The 19037-nt window shown below is 36.8% G+C and overlaps 1 protein-coding gene across 13 annotated transcripts in view; it reads left to right on the top strand.

Annotated features, from left to right (window-relative positions):
- VAV3 (vav guanine nucleotide exchange factor 3) overlaps window positions 1-19037 on the top strand; it is a 394020-nt gene that overhangs the window by 240512 nt on the left and 134471 nt on the right. The gene's annotated exons all lie outside the window — the stretch shown is intronic.

The following is a 19037-nucleotide window of genomic DNA, read 5'->3' as shown; positions in this document are numbered from 1 at the left end:
TCAGATTGAAAGCAGCTATGCCCTTTTCCTGTGCCACCCCCCATCCTATACTGTAGGATTGTCCAATCTCTCTTTCATTCTCCACCATATCTTACACCTTTGGGAATCACTTTATTAGGTTTACTTCTTTTCATGTCTCTATCTTCATCCTAGATTGAAAGAACTGTAAGGCCAGAGGCCATGTATTTTTTGTCCCAGTACAATGCTTGGTACTCATCAGGCATTTAATAAACACTTATTGAATAAAAGAATGTCTGAAGCAGCTGAATAATAGTATAAGACAACTTTCAGATTGTAAGTGCCATATAACTTCAGAGAAAGGACAGATCATTATACACTACAGTAATCTAGGATGCTCTCAAAGAAAAAGTGGGGACCTATGTTGCAGGGATAGATCACATTTGGAGTGGTAGAGGGAAGGAAGACTATTCATGACTAGGAATAACTGTTTGGGGCTGAGACGGAGGTGAACATTTAAAGAGTACTTTGAATAAATGGGTTTCTTTACTTATGATGAAATACTATGATTGGAGATACCATTTTCCTAATTAAAATGTTGCTGTTGTTCTTCATGACTCACATATTAATTTCTATACTCCTTAATATTGGGTTAAGAGTCAAATCAGAGTTCACTCTGTTAGTCGCTTCACGAGCCTTGGACAAGTTGCTTGACTTTTCTGAGCTTCAATTTAGAAATGAAAAAAATGGAGACATAATAGCTACCTCAAAATGTGTATTGTAGCATTTACGATGTGTTCTCTATTTATCCAATGTCAGATATAGTACAGGACACTTTATGTGTATTAAGTCTTGTAACCTTTATGTCAGCTCCATTTTGATTAGGTTATTGTTTTTGTTCTAATTTACAACAGAGGAAAAACAACGGTACCACCAAGAGAAATATGGAAGTATGGAAGACATCATCTCAGATTGTTTTGGAGGTTGGAAGGAACAGCTCCTCTGTATAGGGTGGCTGGCAGCAGTACTTAATGGTACTAGCGCAGCTTTGAGTTCAAGGGAGAGAGAGTTGGGTCTGCTAAGTTGCGGGTTCATCCATGAAGTTGTTTTGTGCCCTGTGATCTAATATAGCTTCAACTCAGAAGCTGGAAACATTACTCTGGAATCCTGTGTCTGGCAGTGTGTCAAGCAGCCAGGCCCAGATGGAGAATCCAGGTGTATGTTGGCAAAAACAGGGTAGGTCCAAATGGAGGGTGGTGGCAGACTGTGGAGGACTTACTTGAGGGCTGAGCTGGTGGCTGCAGCATTTTTATGGGATGTTCCCTATTTGTGTGGGAAGACAACCCTGAAGGTGAATTTGTGTGGAGAGAAAACACAGAAGGGCAGCAACACAGCATAAGCACAAGTCAGGGGAGGCTGTGACATCAGATGGGCGCTGAATGCTTGTGGCTGGGAGGACAGGCAAGGCCCAAAGGAGTAGCTCTCTTTTTGTTGTTACTGTTGTTTTGCTCTTCATGGATAAATTTGTTCTACAGCAGTTTTTAAGATTCTATTATATGTGGAGTACCATTTATGAGGATACAAAATACAAATAAGAGGATGTCCTCAAGTTGGATACAGATAGTGAAACAAAGTTTACAAATAATTACACAATAACATGACGAAGTCTATAGTGGAGCCAAACAAAAAGGACTGCAGGAACACTAAGGGGTAAGCTAAAAATCCTGCCTGAGAGAATTAAGAAAGGCTTCTCAGAGGAGATAACATTTGAGCTGGGTCCTCAAGAATGAACAGGAATTCTCCAGTGGGAAAGGTCACTATGAATGCAATGATTAGAACTACTTAGTAAGCGTACAAAAAAAAAAAAAAAGAGAGGATAATAGGGCTTTCTGACACTACTTTTCCAGATTCGAGGGTATCTAGTTTGTTTCATCACTCTTTAAAAAGAAGCCCAAGGTATCTTAAAGGATGAAACAGCGCCTCGGTGCTGCTCTTCATCATAGAACCTCACCTCATGCCATGGCTTGGAAAGCTCTGCAGGCCCAGGCGTGTCCTCTTATACTCAGAAAACAACCCTTCAAGGTCATCAATTCCATTTGTATTCTTATTGGACATTGTTTGGAGCATAGTAGGCATTCAGTAAATGTTCTTTGAAATAAGTCCATTTGTTGGAATGTCTTGAAAATATTTTTTGAGGGTGGTTGTATTTTCTTTCTTGAGACTCACTGGCACATGTGTCTGTTTCAAGTCAGCAAGGCTGTTCCAATTTTTGTCTTAGGAGTTTTACTTTCTGTATGCTTTTTTGCCTCATTTGGGAGTTTACATTATTTCAAAATGGATAGAGACTGTAGAATAGAGAATCCCAAAATCACAGGACAATTGAAGTTCATTGACAAGGATAGTGAGAAAAGTGTGCTCTGCAGAATATTTTACTCTGAGTTTCTCTAATGTAATTAGTTTTGAGTGGGGAAGAAAACCCAACATTCAGCAGAAAGGCAGGAATAGAGGATCAATCTAATACATCACAGTGGAGAATGAGGCTGTGTTCAGGCCATTCTGCATACTCCGAAACTCTTAAGCACAACTGACTCTGCAGAAAATATGTCTGTCTCAAACCCCCGTTTACTGTCAGTTCTTTTGGATACCCAGATACTAACCACCAGAATAAAGTCCAGCCCAAATCTCAGGGTTTCTGGACTGTAATACTAGTTAGCTCCATTAATACTTGCCTTCATCTGCCAAGAAGATATTTAAAAGTCATTTGCAATTATGGGTCCATCTCAGGTTTGGATTCATTTTCTTAAGGGAAGTATTTGGGGACTACTGTCACCCCATATTGTAAGGTGAAGACACAAGGCAACAGGTTGAGTGAATGGTGGCCCTCAGTCATGCTGGGTCTGGAGGAAGCTGAAAGCTAGGCTGAGATTGCTACTTAGTTTGTGTAGTTTGATGTTAAAGCATCATCACGTTTTTTTTTCAGGCCCAGGAACAGGATTTAGAAGCTTCAGGTTTTCCCTTCCTGTAAGGTAGCCTTGATACCTAGATGTTGTGATTTCCTTTGTGGAGAGAAACAAACTTCTGGGCCTGTTTCTACCCATCTGCTGTTGGGTTGAAAGCACAGCTCTCATCATGTTTCTTTCCTTCCGAAGTGTCTGATGTGTTTCTCTGCTGCCTCTACAAGCACCCATTTTCTTCTGTATCCAGCCTTGTGGCCCTTATGCCTACCCTGTTTTGGTTCTAAACATGGGAATACCTCATTTTCTCAGTGCTTTTCATCCATTCCTTCCATCTCAAGTGCTGAAAATGTCTCAGAAGTCCTAGACCTTGATAAAGGTTATTGGCCATGTTATTCTCATCTGTCTGCTCCTGCTCTGCTCTGAACAGTTCTGGAATACTAAGACAGCCATACAGTAGCAGCCAATATCTTTGGATGAGTCTTCTTACTTTAATTATTCTGCTGAATGGACATATGCTCCCCTCACTTTCCTCCCCCACCATAGCTGTCCAAATCTATTTGAATTCCGTTAACTTCACGTTTTCTCATGCCCTGATTCAGTCTCTTATGCCTAAATTTAGTCTCGAAGCATGAAACCATAAAGGATTCTCCAGTCCACCCTAGAACTCTGGACATTAACTTAAAATCTGTTCACCCATATCAAGCCTGTGCTGTGCTCAGCTTATACCTGTAAACACTGATCTCTTCTCTCCTACTCTAATACAAGTTTTATTTGTATCAGCTCTGCCCTGGGTACTCCAAGAATAGGATAGCCAATTATCCTCTCATACCTTATCTTCTCTGACAGAGAAATCAGAGTTCTTGCATTTTGGTCTCCACTGAGAAAGGCAATTCTGTGACTGCTTGCCACATGGCTCCCCAAGTCCTGCTCAAGTTCTCACCTCCTTCACAAATTGTTGATGTATGTGGGCCTTGTCTCTTCAACTTTATGGCAGGCTCGTAGAGGATACGTATCTTCATAACCTGTAAGTCCCACTGGGCCTAGAATGTTACTAAAGCACTACACTTTTTCTCTTGAGATGGAGTTTTGCTCTTGTTGTGCAGGCTGGAGTGCAATGGTGCGATCTCAGCTCACTGCATCCTCTGCCTCCTGGGTTCAAGTGATTTTCCTACCTCAGCCTCTCGAGTAGCTGGGATTATAGGCATGCGCCACCCCACCTGGCTAATTTTGTATTTTTAGTAGACACGGGGTTTCTCCATGTTGGTCAGGCTGGTCTCAAACTCCTTTTTTTTTTTTTTTTAGCAATATTAACAGATGGAACTTTTATTTATTTATTTATTTATTTATTTATTTATTTATTTATTTATTTTTGAGACAGTGTCTCACTCTGTTGCCCAGGCTGGAGTGCAGTGGCATGATCACAGCTCACTGCAGCCTCAACATCCTGGGCTCAAGTGATCCTTTCACCTCAGCCTCTCAAGTAGCTGGCACTTCAGGCATGTGCCACCATACGTGGCTAATTTTTTATTTATTTTTATTTTTTTATTATACTTTAAGTTTTAGGGTACATGTGCACAATGTGCAGGTTTGTTACATATGTATACATGTGCTGTGTTGGTTTGCTGCACCTATTAACTCATCATTTACATTAGGTATTTCTCCTAATGCTATCCCTGCCCCATTCCCCCGACCCCACGACAGGGCCTGGTGTGTGATGTTCCCTGCCTTGTGTCCAAGTGTTCTCATTGTTCCATTCCTACTGATGAGTGAGAAAATGCGGTGTTTGGTTTTCTGTCCTTGTGATAGTTTGCTCAGAATGATGGTTTCCAGCTTCATCCATGTTGCTACAAAGGACATGAACTCATCCTTTTTAATGGCTGCATAGTATTCCATGGTGTATATGTGCCACATTTTCTTAATCCAGTCTATCATTGTTGGACATTTGGGTTGGTTCCAAGTCTTTGCTGTTGTGAATAGTGCCACAATAAACATATGTGTTCATGTGTCTTTATAGTAGCATGATTTATAATCCTTTGGGTATATACCCAGTAGTGGGATTGCTGGGTCAAATGGTATTTCTAGTTCTAGATCCTTGAGGAATTGCCACACTGTCTTCCACAATGGTTGAAGTAGTTTACAGTTCCACCAACAGTGTAAAAGTGTTCCTATTTCTCCACATACTCTCCAGCACTTGTTTCCTGACTTTTTACTGATCACCATTCTAACTGGTGTGAGATGGTAACTCATTGTGGTTTTGATTTGCATTTCTCTGATGACCAGTGATGAGGAGCATTTTTTCATATGTCTGTTGGCTGCATAAATAAATGTCTTCTTTTGAAAAGTGTCTGTTTATATCCTTCGACCACTTTTTGATGGAGTTGTTTGATTTTCTCTTGTAAATTTGTTTAAGTTCTTTGTAGATTCTAGACATTAGCCCTTTGTCAGATGGGTAGATTGCAAACATTTTCTCCCATTCTGTAGGTTACCTGTTCACTCTGATGGCAGTTTCTTTTGCCGTGCAGAAGCTCTTTAGTTTAATTAGATCCCATTTGTCTATTTTGGCTTCTGTTACCATTGCTTTTGGTGTTTTAGTCATGAAGTCCTTGCCCATGCCTATGTCCTGAATGGTATTGCCTAGGTTTTCTTCTAGGGTTTTTATGGTTTTAGGTCTAACATTTAAGTCTTTAATCCATCTTGAATTAATGTTTGTATAAGGTGTAAGGAAGGGATCCAGTTTCAGCTTTCTACATATGGCTAGCCAGTTTTCCCAGCACCATTTATTGAATAGGGAATCCTTTCACCATTTCTTGTTTTTGTCAGGTTTGTCAAAGATCAGATGTTTGTAGATGTGTGGTGTTATTTCTGTGGCCTCTGTTCTGTTCCATTGGTCTATATCTCTGTTTTGGTACCAGTACCATGCTGTTTTGGTTACTGTGGTCTTGTAGTATAGTTTGAAGTCAGGTAGCGTGATGCCTCCAGATTTGTTCTTTTTGTTTAGGATTGTCTTGGTAATGCAGGCTCTTTTTTGGTTCCATATGAACTTTAAAGTAGATTTTCCAATTCTGTGAAGAAAGTCATTGGTAGCTGGATGGGGATGGCATTGAATCTATAAATTACCTTGGGCAGTATGGCCATTTTCATGATATTGATTCTTCCTATCCATGAGCATGGAATGTTCTTCCATTTGTTTGTGTCCTCTTTGATTTTGTTGAGCAGTGGTTTGTAGTTCTCCTTGAAGACATCCTTCACATCCCTTGTAAGTTGGATTCCTAGGTATTTTATTCTCTTTGTAGCAATTGTGAATGGGCGTTCACTCATGATTTGGCTCTCTGTTTGTCTGTAATTGGTGTATAGGAATGCTTGTGATTTTTGCGCCTTGATTTTGTATCCTGAGACTTTGCTGAAGTTGCTTATCATCTTAAAGAGATTTTGGGCTGAGATGATGGGGTTTTCTAAATATATAATCATGTCATCTGTGAACAGGGACAAACTGATTTCCTCTTTTCCTAATTGAATACCCTTTATTTCTTTCTCTTGCTTGATTGCCCTGGCCAGAACTTCCAACAGTATGTTGAATAGGAGTGGTGAGAGAGGGCATCCCTGTCTTGTGCCAGTTTTCAAAGGGAATGCTTCCAGTTTTTTCCCATTCAGTATGATATTGGCTGTGGGTTTGTCATAAATACCTCTTATTATTTTGAGATACGTTCCATCAATGAAACAGACTTTCAACCAACACAGACCAAAAGAGACAAAGAAGGCCATTACATAATGGTAAAGGGATCAATTCAACAAGAAGAGCTAACTATCCTAAATATATATGCACCCAATACAGGAGCACCCAGATTCATAAAGCAAGTCCTTAGATACCTACAAAGAGACATAGACTCCCACACAATAATAATGGGAAACTTTAACACCCCATTGTCAATATTAGACAGATGAACGAGACAGAAGATTAATAAGGATATCCAGGACTTGAACTCAGCAATGCACTAAGCCGACCTAATAGACATCTACAGAACTCTCCACCACAAATCAACAGAATATATCTTCTTCTCAGCACCACATCACACTTATTCCAAAATTGACCACATTGTTGGAAGTAAAACACTCCTCAGCAAATGTAAAAGAACAGAAATCACAACAAACTGTCTCTCAGACCACAGTGCAATCAAATTAGAACTCAGGATTAAGAAACTCACTCAAAACCGCACAACTACATGGAAACTGAACAACCTGCTCCTGAATGACTCCTGGGTAAATTAGAAACTGAAGGCAGAAATAAAGATGTTCTTTGAAACCAATGAGAACAAAGACACAACGTACCAGAATCTCTGGGACACATTTAAAGCAGTGTATAGAGGGAAATTTATAGCACTAAATGCTCACAAGAGAAAGCAGGAAAGATCTAAAATTGACACCCTAACATCACAGTTAAAAGAACTAGAGAAGCAAGAGCAAACAAATTCAAAAGCTAGCATAAGGCAAGAAATAACTAAGATTAGAGCAGAACTAAAGGAAATAGAGACACACAAAACCCTTCAAAAAATCAGTGAGTCCAGGAGCTGGTTTTCTGAAAAGATCAACAAAATAGATAGACTGCTAGCAAGACTAATAAAGAAGAAAAGAGAGGAGAATCAAATAGATGCAATAAAAATGATAAAGGGGATATCACCATCGATCCCACAGAAATACAAACTACCTTCAGAGAATACTATAAACACCTCTATGTAAATAAACTAGAAAATCTAGAAGAAATGGATAAATTCCTGGACAGATACTCCCTCCCAAGACTAAACTAGGAAGATGTTGAATCCCTGAGTATACCAATAACAGGCTGTGAAATTGAGGCAATAATTAATAGCTTACCAACCAAAAAGAGTCCAGGACCAGACGGATTCACAGCCGGATTCTACCAGAGGTACAAGGAAGAGCTGGTACCATTCCTTCTGAAATTATTCCAGTCAACAGAAAAAGAGGGAATCCTCCCTAACTCATTTTATGAGGCCAGCATCATCCTGATACCAAAGCCTGGCAGAGACACAACAACAACAAAAAAAGAATTTTAGACCAATATCCCTGATGAACATCGATGTGAAAATCCTCAATAAAATACTGGCAAACTGAATCCAGCAGCACATCAAAAAGCTTATCCACCATGATCAAGTGGGCTTCATCCCTGGGATGCAAGGCTGGTTCAACATATGCAAATGAATAAACGTAATCCATCACATAAACAGAACCAAAGACAAAAACCACATGATTATCTCAATAGATGTAGGAAAGGCCTTTGACAAAATTGAACAGCGCTTCATGCTAAAAACTCTCAAACTCCTAACCTCAGGTGATCCACCTGCCTCGGCCTCCCAAAGTGCTGGGATTACAGGCGTGAGCCACCACACCTGGCCCACCAAAGCACTTTTAAAAGTCTTTACTGGCTGGCTGTTTGGTCACAATAATGTTTATAGTGAATATGCCTTTTTCTTTAATAAACACATTTAACGTTTTAAAGTTCTTTTTCTGAAGAGTGATTTTTGGTTTTGATTGTTGATAGTGGCCTTGATTCATGCCAAACTTATAAAAATCCTGGTCAGTTTATACTGAGCTTCTGCACATAGAGTTTTATATAAAACCAAGACTTTGTATTTGAAGGATGGAATGTTGATTTAAACACCTTTTTTGTACATAATCATTTTAGAATTTGAAGAGGAAAAATTAACAAAGCTTGTCAGATTACCTTTCAGATTTCTTTCTTTTGTTCCCTAATATTACCTTGTAACAATACCATCTCCATCTCCGTATGCTTCTAGATCACATTAATTCCACAGCAAACTTTATATTATCAGACATAATTTGAAATGTGATACAACTTAAATTCACTGTGCCAGCTCAGCATTCCTAATTCATGTTATCTGCAGTGTTTGAATTATAGTTCAGATTTATTGGACCAGAGAATGAGAAAATCCAAATTCTCTAGAATTGATTTCTTACATGGAAAGGCTGACACAGTGGGAGATGTGTTGCTGTTTAAAACAGAACTTTGAGACCTCCCCACCCCCGTTCAGTGATAAGAGAATGAACAATGCATTTTAATGGAAAAATTGAAGTAAAGCAAGATAGTTCAAATTAACTGGAGAACCATGATTGTTGGTTCCAGAAAAATTCACTGTTGTATTCTCAGTGTTTGAAAATGACTGTCACATGATAGGCACTCAATTAATTTGTTGAATACATGACTAAGTGTATTATAAGCCAAGAGAAGTTTTAATATGCTTATTACATGTTTAATACAAGAAAAGCATTATCTCAATTTATTCAGGATATAGTAATACATAGATGATCATTTATACTGCTCTACCTTGATGAGGCCTCTAGCTTTCCACTAAATGTTTGTCACTTATGATAGCAATAACAGTAATAGAAGTAGCATCTAGCATTTATGTAATACTTTTTATCATTTAGTAAGTACTATTTATTTATTAAAATGCACACATATATGTTCTCACTTGTCTTCAGAACAAATTTGAGTGCTCGGTGGAACAGGTTCTAAACAAATGTGAGATCCCTCTTCTCCCACTCCTGGATGTTGGCCTTGTATGGTAGGAAGGGCAGGTATAGTTCTTTGATTGGTGAGGAAACTAAAAATAGAAAGAATAGTTTATGGGCCAAAAGCCACACTTTAATTTTGTAATAAACATAAACCTAAATTACAGATAATCTGACATCTTTTCCACTTTAAATTTATTATAGATTTAACTGACTTTACATTTCATTCAATAATTTCTTTGCAATGTCACTGAAATGCAGTGACAGATGTATATTTAAAATTACTATAAAGCCCATCTTGAATAAAATAAAGAAGTGTAATATATAGTAGATAAGAAAATACTATTTTTCAGAGCTAAGCATGATCTGATTTTTATCAGTATTTTGAAAGTATTTATTCATTTCCCTGGATAAAAGACTGTACGTGATTTGGAATATAAGGAAAGGAATAGGTGAAGATGTCCCTTCTGAACTGTTTTTTTTAAACTTGGTTTTTGAAGGACCCGTTTGTTTTTCGTTTTCTTGCCCTTTCAAATAACCAGCAGCATAATTAGTATGCTATGGTGTTATGGGAACAAATTATGAATAAACAAGGATTAAAAGATTGTATGAATATATCTTTCATACTTACTTGGAGGATTTAATTTCACAATATAAGATATTTTAAAAATAAATACTTGGATTTTATCCTGGAAATTTTCATATTAATGAAAGAAAGAAAAACCTATTTAATGAGAGCTTTAAGATTGTATCTTATGGGAAAGTCTAACTTTAGGTATAAAAGGATCAGTTTTATTTTGAGATTTTTGGCTAAGACTTTACTTAAAGATTGCTTTGTCAGAACTGGAGATTTTAGGAGTGCCTATGACTTGACAGAAACAACTGGGATAGACTATTCTGATGTTCTTTAATGTTTAATTGGTAATTCTAAGGGAAGAAGAAATACTTTGGTAAGTTAGATGCATGGTCCAGCTAGCTTAATTATCTGTCTTGCGTGCTGGGGACTATATGGAGAGTGATTCCTGTCCATCATAGTATTGGTCTCAAAAGGTCAATTTCTAGTTCAGACAGCTTCAGGTCTCCTTTGGTCTCCAGGATTTGCATATTTATCTGTTTTATCTTTAGTTTTGATGGAAAAATAATGCGTATAAGTGAACATCTATTAAGATAATAGCTTTTTGTTTTCGAAATTTCTCCTAAATTATAAGGCCTGATACGTCTAGAGCTAGTATTTGAACATTCGGCACAAACGTTAAATTTCATATGTTTAGAATAATTAGTTCTTAAATTCAAAAGATATTTGACTAGCCAAAACGTGATGTCTGACTTTATAGGAGATGATGAGCATTTAGGTGATGATGTATAAGTGAAATATGTCCTGAAAGGCCCCTCATAGAATTGGTTTTACTGAGTAATACTTTGGTACTAAGTCCTTGGCTCAAATCAAGAAAGGACAGAAAGGGAAGGCACACAGTTGTATTTATAAGGATGTCGTTGAAGACATTGGTTATATATCACACAATTTCCCTTTTATGAAAACCCTTCAGTGTATCTTTTTTCTTTTATCTTTTCCTTTTTTGGGGCCAGTCTGACACGTGAAATGATGTCTTGTTATTTAAATGTACATTTCTTTTGATTGCTAGTACATGTTTTATGTATTGTTTTTATTTTATTTTTTTAACAAATTGCCCTGCTAATTTTCTTGCTATTTTTCCAATTGGGATGTTCATTTTTTTCTTATGGACTTTCAATGGTACTTGTGTATTGCAAGGAGATTAATCTTTTACCATACATATTCTAAACATTTTTCTGCTTTCTCTAATTTTTTATGTGTTTTTTTTATTTAAATAAAAGTTTGGGTTTGTTTTTCTAAGTGAAAATGAGGCCAGCCATCTTTTGTTTGCTTTCATTTCCTTTAAAGATTATATAAGTAGTTATCAATATTTTCTCCAAATACTTGTATTTTTGTTTTTTGTTTAAAATAAATATCAGGTTCCTATCTAAATTTTACATTTAAATGCAGAATATAAGCCTCATGAAGGCAGCAATTTTGTCGATTTTATTCCTTATCGTTGGCTGTATTCATGGCACATCATAGGCATGTAATATGTATTTTTCAAATAGATAGTATAAGTCTTTATCTAAACTTTATATTGTTATAAAAATGTGAATAGAAATCTAGCTTTCTTAACCTTTTTAGAAAGCTGGACATGTACTTTTAAGTCATATTTAAGCCTGCTGTTTTTCCTCTGTCCCGAAATTCTTCCTCTTGCTTTCCACCTATTTCTGTAGAAAATCCTTCTGTGGTAATACACCGACAAGGTCATAATTTACGTTTCAAGTTTTCCTAACGTGATCTTTCTTTGTAGCACTTGTCATAGCTGCAGTTTCATGATTGTTTGTGGAATTATTTAAATGTTCTTCTCCCCGCTTCCACCCTACAAGCCAACATTAGTCAGGGACTTTACTTATTTTTGTTCATCATCATATCCCACTGCATGGCACATATTAGATAATTAATAAGTTTTTTTTAAATGAGCATTTTATTTTTTGAATAGACTAATAAACTGCCACAAAAATCACATACCAAGTCCTTGCACATATTCGGTCCCCTTCAAGACTTTTACATTTTATATTATTGATCTGTCTGTTTTGTTATCAGTCCCATACAAATTTAATAACTATACTTCTAAAAACATTTTAGTATTTCTTAGGTTATAGTGGCTTCCCATATACTCTTTACAACAGGTGTGTCCAATCTTTTGGCTTCTCTGGGCCACTTTGGAAGAAGAATTTGTATTGGGCCACACATAAAATACACTAACAATAACGATAGCTGATGAGCTTTAAAAAAATCACACACAAAAAATCTCAATCTCATAATGTTTCAAGAAAGTTTACGGATTTGTGTTGGGCCACATGTGGCCTGCAGACCATGGGCTGGACAAGCTTGCTCTACACTAATTCACACAGTTTAAAACATTTTCCAACTATTCTCACATATTTATCTTCTGGTTGTATTTTATAATCATTTGTCAAGTTAAAAAAATCTCATTGTATATTTATAAGTGTGCGTGTGAGAGAGAGTATGTTTGTGTGTTGGTTTGCAAGGAAGGATTTGTTTTAAATTTGTAAATCGGAGAGAGGTTGTGTATTTATAATAAAATATTCCATTTTCTTATTTAGGAGCTTGCTATGCGGCTTTTAATTTATTGAATGCGTTGTCGGGCACGGTGGCTCACACCTGTAATGCCAGCACTTTGGGAGGCTGAGGTGGGCAGATCACCTGAGGTCAGGAGTTTGAGACCAGCCTGGCCAATATGGTGAAACCCCGTCTCTATTAAAAATACAAAAATTGGCCAGGCATGCTAGTGCATGCCCATATCCAGCTACTCAGGAGGCTGAGGCATGAGAATCGCTCGAACCTGGGAGGCAGAGGTTGCACCACTGCACTCCAGCCTGGGCGACAGAGCAAGACTCTGTTTCAAAAAAAAAAGACTACTTACGAATTTATTGAATGCATTTATTTCTCTCAGTTAATTTAAAACTTTATTTTATAGAACCTAAACTTTTCATGTTAGGATTTTTCTTAGACATTTTCATGCAGAAACTAGTTAACATAGCAAGCTCGAATTTGCTATCTTTAGAAGGATTTGCTTACAGGGTTGGCTTGTCCTTGGCTGTCATCTGATAACTTGACTTCAGAATGTTCCCTGTGGTACTAAGTGATAAGGTTATTTGGTGTACCAGGGGTACTGAATTTCATTGTGCCAATCTGCCTAGACTTAAAAAAAATGTGATTTATACTTCCTTCTGGGATTTTTTAAAAATATTGTGGCTGAGTATGTAGGCAGAGAGTGTCTGTGTGACCAGTCCCTCCAAAATCTTTGCACTCGGGGTCTCAAGAGATTTTTCCAGACAGAGATGCTACACATATTACTGCATTTCTTTGCTAGAGAGCATTAGAAACTTACACACAGATCTCTTCAGGTGCCACTTGATGTCTTCATCTCTCATTAGTTTTATCACTTTTAAATATCTTCTCTTAGTTTTTCCTGATAGTCCCAATATTGTCATCTCTAAATGAAAATTCTGTGTACTTTTTTACAATATTTATCCTTCACATTCATTTTTCTTGTCATATTACAGTGATTAGATCTTCCAGAACAATATTGAAAAATACAGTTGACTTCAAAAACTTTTATTTTCAATATAATTGTGATAGTGTTTTATATTAGATATGTTTTCTATTATCTTTAGTTTGATATTCTTTATCATAGTAAGAAACTATCCCTTAATGTCTAGTTTATTTAGTTTCATTAGAAGCACACAATGCATTTTAAGTCTTTTTTGATACCTGTTGAGACAACCCAATTTTTTTGTTTCTTTATTAATGTGATAAATTGTTTCACATATTTGAAAAGCCTTATTTAAAAAGAGTCATGATATCGCTAACTATCCTGGCGATAAACTATCCATATTATTTTAAATGATTTTAAAACCTTGCTATGGAAAATAAGATTAACTTAAGTAGTAGGCTTATTGTAATTTATTGCCACTTAAATAATAGAGGTTAATAGAAGGATGCAAGAAGAGAGCCAACTTGTTGTATCATGGAGAAAAATAATTGTAAGTATTAATAATAATAAATAAAAATAAGACTGTTTAGCATATTTCTAAAGGACATTCTCAAATAAGTAATCTGTATTTGGTATCTGTTGGCCAAAATATATATTTTCTGTATTTTAGCAACACACACAAAGCTATGTGTGTGAATACATTTTTATAAATCGATGTATTTTTGATACAAAAAAGCCTGTTGCATTCAGACAGGTGTTTTTGAAGCACTGACATTTGCTTCCAGCTCTCCTACTTTTACTTTCAATGCAATATGATGAAATAAACCATTTTATGTATACTACATAATTGCCACAATGTCCATACTGGTAATACTTGATTGTTAATACTGATAGAGCATGAGACAGCATGATGTCATAAATTGGTTCTCATCTTATTTGCTCTGTAATTGGTCATGATCATTACAGATGATTTCATCTTGCTAGGATTTGCTTCCTTTATTCTATAACTATATTACTAAAATGACATAGTGATTTTAAAATTTACAGTTAAAATAGAGAAAAATGTTCATTTTAAGCATGTATGTTTTAAAAATCATATGTATTATTATTTTACATTGTATTACTAACTACACTGTCATACTTATTACTGAAATATATGTATGAGTACGATTATAGTTTTTTGTAAAAATATTGTATTCGTCTGTTCTCACACTGCTAAGAAAGACATACCTGAGACTGGGTAATTTATTTAAAAAAGAGATTTAATTGACTCACAGTTCAGCATGGCTGGGGAGGCCTCAGGAAACTTATAGTCATGGTAGAAGGGGAGACAAACACGTCCTTTCTCACATGGCAGCAGGAAGGAGAAGAATGAGTGCCCAGTGAAGGGGGCAGCCCCTTATAAAACCATCAGATCCCATGAGAAATAACTCCGTATCATGAGAACAGGATGGGGGAAACCATCCCCACGATTCAGTTATCTCCACCTGGTCCCTCTCACGACACGTGGGGATTATTGGAACTACAAGATAAAATTTGGGTTGGGGACACAGCCAAACCATATCAAAGTTTAAATATTTTCTCACAATAAAGAGAGGATATATGTAAGTAAACATAAATTCTGAGATTTAATTGAAATTTAGTGAATCATGTTTTTCTTCAGTGTTCTTTCACATAAGAGGTAATTTTTTTTGGCTTAATAAAAATGTCTCTTATCTTTCCTTTACTTCTTCCATCTTTCTATCTGATAATGTGGCAAAAGGCAGCTTTTGAAAACAAACAAAATACTACAGTAAAAGCATATTTTTTCTGATTTCTATCAGCTATGAATATCTAGCATTAATTTTCCTGGTAGAATGTTTGATGACTATAAAGAGGAGACTGGTAAGAAGGAGAAGATGCACCCTCCACACAGGTCAGTGGGGAGGCGGACTTACAAGTACTTTTAGTGCTACTTTTAGGGCGGTACAAAGTTACTGAAAGCCTAGGAGGTCTACTTAACTCGGCATCAGATGTTACATAAAGTGTTATGGAGGCTGACGTATCTGAATTTCAGCATTGCTTCCATCTCCTCTGGTAACTGGCCCCAGTAAACCTATCTAACATTATTTTCTAGTGTGTCTATATTAGGATTCTTTAGAGAAACAAAACCAATAGGATAGGGTGTGTGGGGGGGTATGTGTGTGTGGGTGTGCGGGTGTGTATATGTGTTTGTATGGAACCTGAGTTTTTGAGGAGGTATTTTTAAGCTTGAATTGACCGAAATTGGTCATGATTTCAGGGAAGGAAAAATTGAATCACAGGAAGGGTTAAGAGAAAATGTACATGTAGAGGGTGTGAGGGAGAGGGAAAAATTCATTGTGATTTTGAAGTTCCCAGTTTGGAAGATGGAGTAAATGAATCAGATATGTCAGGAAACACATGGAAGTTGAGTTTTGTATATGCTGCATTTGAGATGCCTGAGGAGCAGTTAGGAATGCATATCTGGAGAACAAAGAGGTCCAGGCTAGGGGGAAAGTGAGGTCTTCAACTTAAGGCCTGTGATGGAGCCAGGTGAGAAGAGAACATCTAAGGACAGCATGTAAAGCTATATGAAGCCCTAAGAGTGTCAACATTCCTTGCCCTATAAATGTTTGATTGCCTGATTAGTTATATTCATAATGAGTTCTATGTGAAGCAAAAGAAATGGGAACATTTGATTAATCTGCAAGATTCCATTGACATTCTCAAAAGTAAATTGTCATATGTTAAGGCAGATTACTAAAATGGAATTCTTTATGTGTATCAGCATGACTGAGCGAGTTAACTAATCTGTTTGACACTCAGCACTCATCTATAGACAACCCAACCCCATGATTGGTCCTACTATATCCACGCTTGTCTTACTATAAAGGAAATCTCTATGTAGTAGCAGCAGAACTTTTTTTTTTCTTCCTCAACTAAATGTGATGTCAATCCTGTATAAAATCTCACTTCTTTCCTTGGTCCCTGCCAACCTATCTCATGTCTTTGCTCATTTGACTCCAGCTGAAGGAGGCTTCTTTCTGTTCCTGCCCAAGGGCTTGTGCATATGGTAGTTACTCAATAAATACTTATGAAATGGATGAATGACTCTGCCTTGTAGATTTGTTCTGAGAAGTAAATGTGAAAAAGTATATGAAGAGCCTAGTGATGTATCTGGTACATTAGAGATGTGAAATAAATGCCTCTTTTGACCATTTTAATTTTTTGTTTCTCCAAATCTGTAATCCTGACATTTCTGTCGTCTTCTGCTGCAATCTACTTTCCCAACCCTTCTCATCCAGCCAGCTTACTGTCTTTGGTTTCGGCACCCCCACAGGCCACGGACCATGTATGATCTCCTCAGTTTGTACTTCAGTGTGAACTGAAGAGATCACAGTTTCATACACAAGGTTTTTCATACATGTAATCTCTTGAGTTACCCTCTTACACTTCAATAATTACATATGGATTCCTAGTCCCAAGGACACTGAGCATATAAGTCGTTGTGCTGGAGATTCTCAGAAGAATGGGTGTCCTCTGGGGACTTGGTCACAGACCTAAAAAGGGACTCTTTACCAGTCACAAAGCACTATCATGATCACACCCTTATTATATGGATTTGGAATCAGCACTTCATAAATTGTAGCCAACATTGATTGAACACCAAATATGGGTCAGGCAGTGTTCTAAGCACGTTACATATATCACTTGATGAGTTTGGTTTTATTGGTATTCCTGTTTTATACTCACTAACTTGCCTAAGATCACGCTGCTACTGATTTGCAAGTTAGGATGTAAGCCCAGGTGGTCTAGTTTCAGATTCCTGTCCTTACCTATGCTTTTTATTCAATACTGCCTCAGCAGCAGTTTCAGGGTCATAGAGTTAACATCTGTTCTTTAGTGTTTGATTCTAGATTTTAAAAATAATTTACCATTTTAGTTTTCAAATAATTCTAATAGTTTCTTTCTACTCTTTTACCTACCACTTTAAGTCTTTATTCCCATAGGGCAGCTACTGTTAACAATATTTTCAGAACCTTTTTCATCATAATTTTTTTGTAAAACATCTTAGTGGCTTTGTGATTCCCCCTTTCAGTTGTTTATTTTCTGAAAGTTCAGCTTATTCTTAGTTCATGAAAGTTTTAAATACCAGTGGTCCAAACACAACTCCGGTATGTTCATGTGTGTGCCTGTGGATGTTCCACCTGTGTCCGAGGCAGATTTTTGAAATTAATTAACTTCTTACCTGTTTGGAACTTATTTACATGAGTTTCTGCCTGAAGGAGATGTACTTCTGTTTGAAAACTCCAGGTTGATGAATTTTTCGGGTTGCCAGGACTCAAACTTATTTGACAAATCATCTATGACCCTATCACCTTGATGCTCAGAAACAAATGAACCAACAGCCCTTCCTGACTAAGGAAACAGGTTTTGATGGAGTTTTCAATGCATGGCTTTATGGACTCAAGAATCAAATGTTTTCTGAACAATGTGAAGAAAGTTTTGTTTCTAGATCCTTATATGTTCCTGTGTCTCCTTTTCTGTAGAAAAGCTCTGCAATTTTTAATCAGTAACACAAAAATGCCTCCATGGAAATGTCCATAATTCTCAGCGTGCAGTGGAACATTTTCCGAAAAAGTGAGGTCACCAGAAGCACAGAGCAGAGAAATCCCAGATGGCACTAATATTTGATTTCATTTTTAGCACGCTCATATTCAGCAGATGGATTGGAAGGCTGACCTCTCTGACACTTCTGCATCACTGCCTGCTACTCCAATTGCCTTTGCGAATGTTTTTTCATAAGGCATCTCCTGGTACCTCAGAGATTGATGCCTGGTCGCCTGCCTGTGTTATGCTTCATTTCGCCAGGATTCTGTGTGGTTGAGAGTTGCTGTATTCTATAAAAGGGGAAATCCTGGCTCATCAGTATCTCAAGCTTTTCCTACAGTCTCTCAAATTGCGTGTAACGTCTCGGAGCATATCATTTTAGCTTTCTAGGTGTACCCCTGATTTGTATCCATCTTTAACTTATCCTAGTCTAATTTTCTGCCCTCTTTTGCCATCAAAAATAATAGCAAAAACCTCAATTACTTTTGCAGCAACCTAAATAGCTAAGCCAAGAATAATGTAAAAAAAAAGTTAAATGTTTTCAAAATACCTACTAAGTACAAAAATTTGATTATTTTAATATGAACATTGCTGAATCTCCTCCTTGAGCTATAGTTTCAGTGGCCAAAAGCAAAGACCTGAGTTAGAGTTCCCAATCATGCTGTTTTCTTTAAGGGTAAGCTCTACTTTAGAGTAAGTGTCAGTTTTCTTATTTGTAAACTAGTGATATTATTCGTGCCAGGCAGTTAGGATTGATGTGAAGATTAAATGAAGAAATGAATGTCATATGGTTGTCACAGTCTGTGGCACAGAGTAAATATACAAAGAATATTAGTTTGTGGTGTGCAAAATAACTTTTGTATGTATAATATAAATAAAATATAAA

The sequence above is a fragment of the Homo sapiens genome, chromosome 1 (assembly GCF_000001405.40).
Source record: "Homo sapiens chromosome 1, GRCh38.p14 Primary Assembly".
In the NCBI taxonomy this organism is placed as follows: Eukaryota; Metazoa; Chordata; class Mammalia; order Primates; family Hominidae; genus Homo; species Homo sapiens.
The sequence above is the reverse complement of the archived record's forward strand: the minus strand, read 5'-3'. Positions and strand labels throughout refer to the sequence as shown.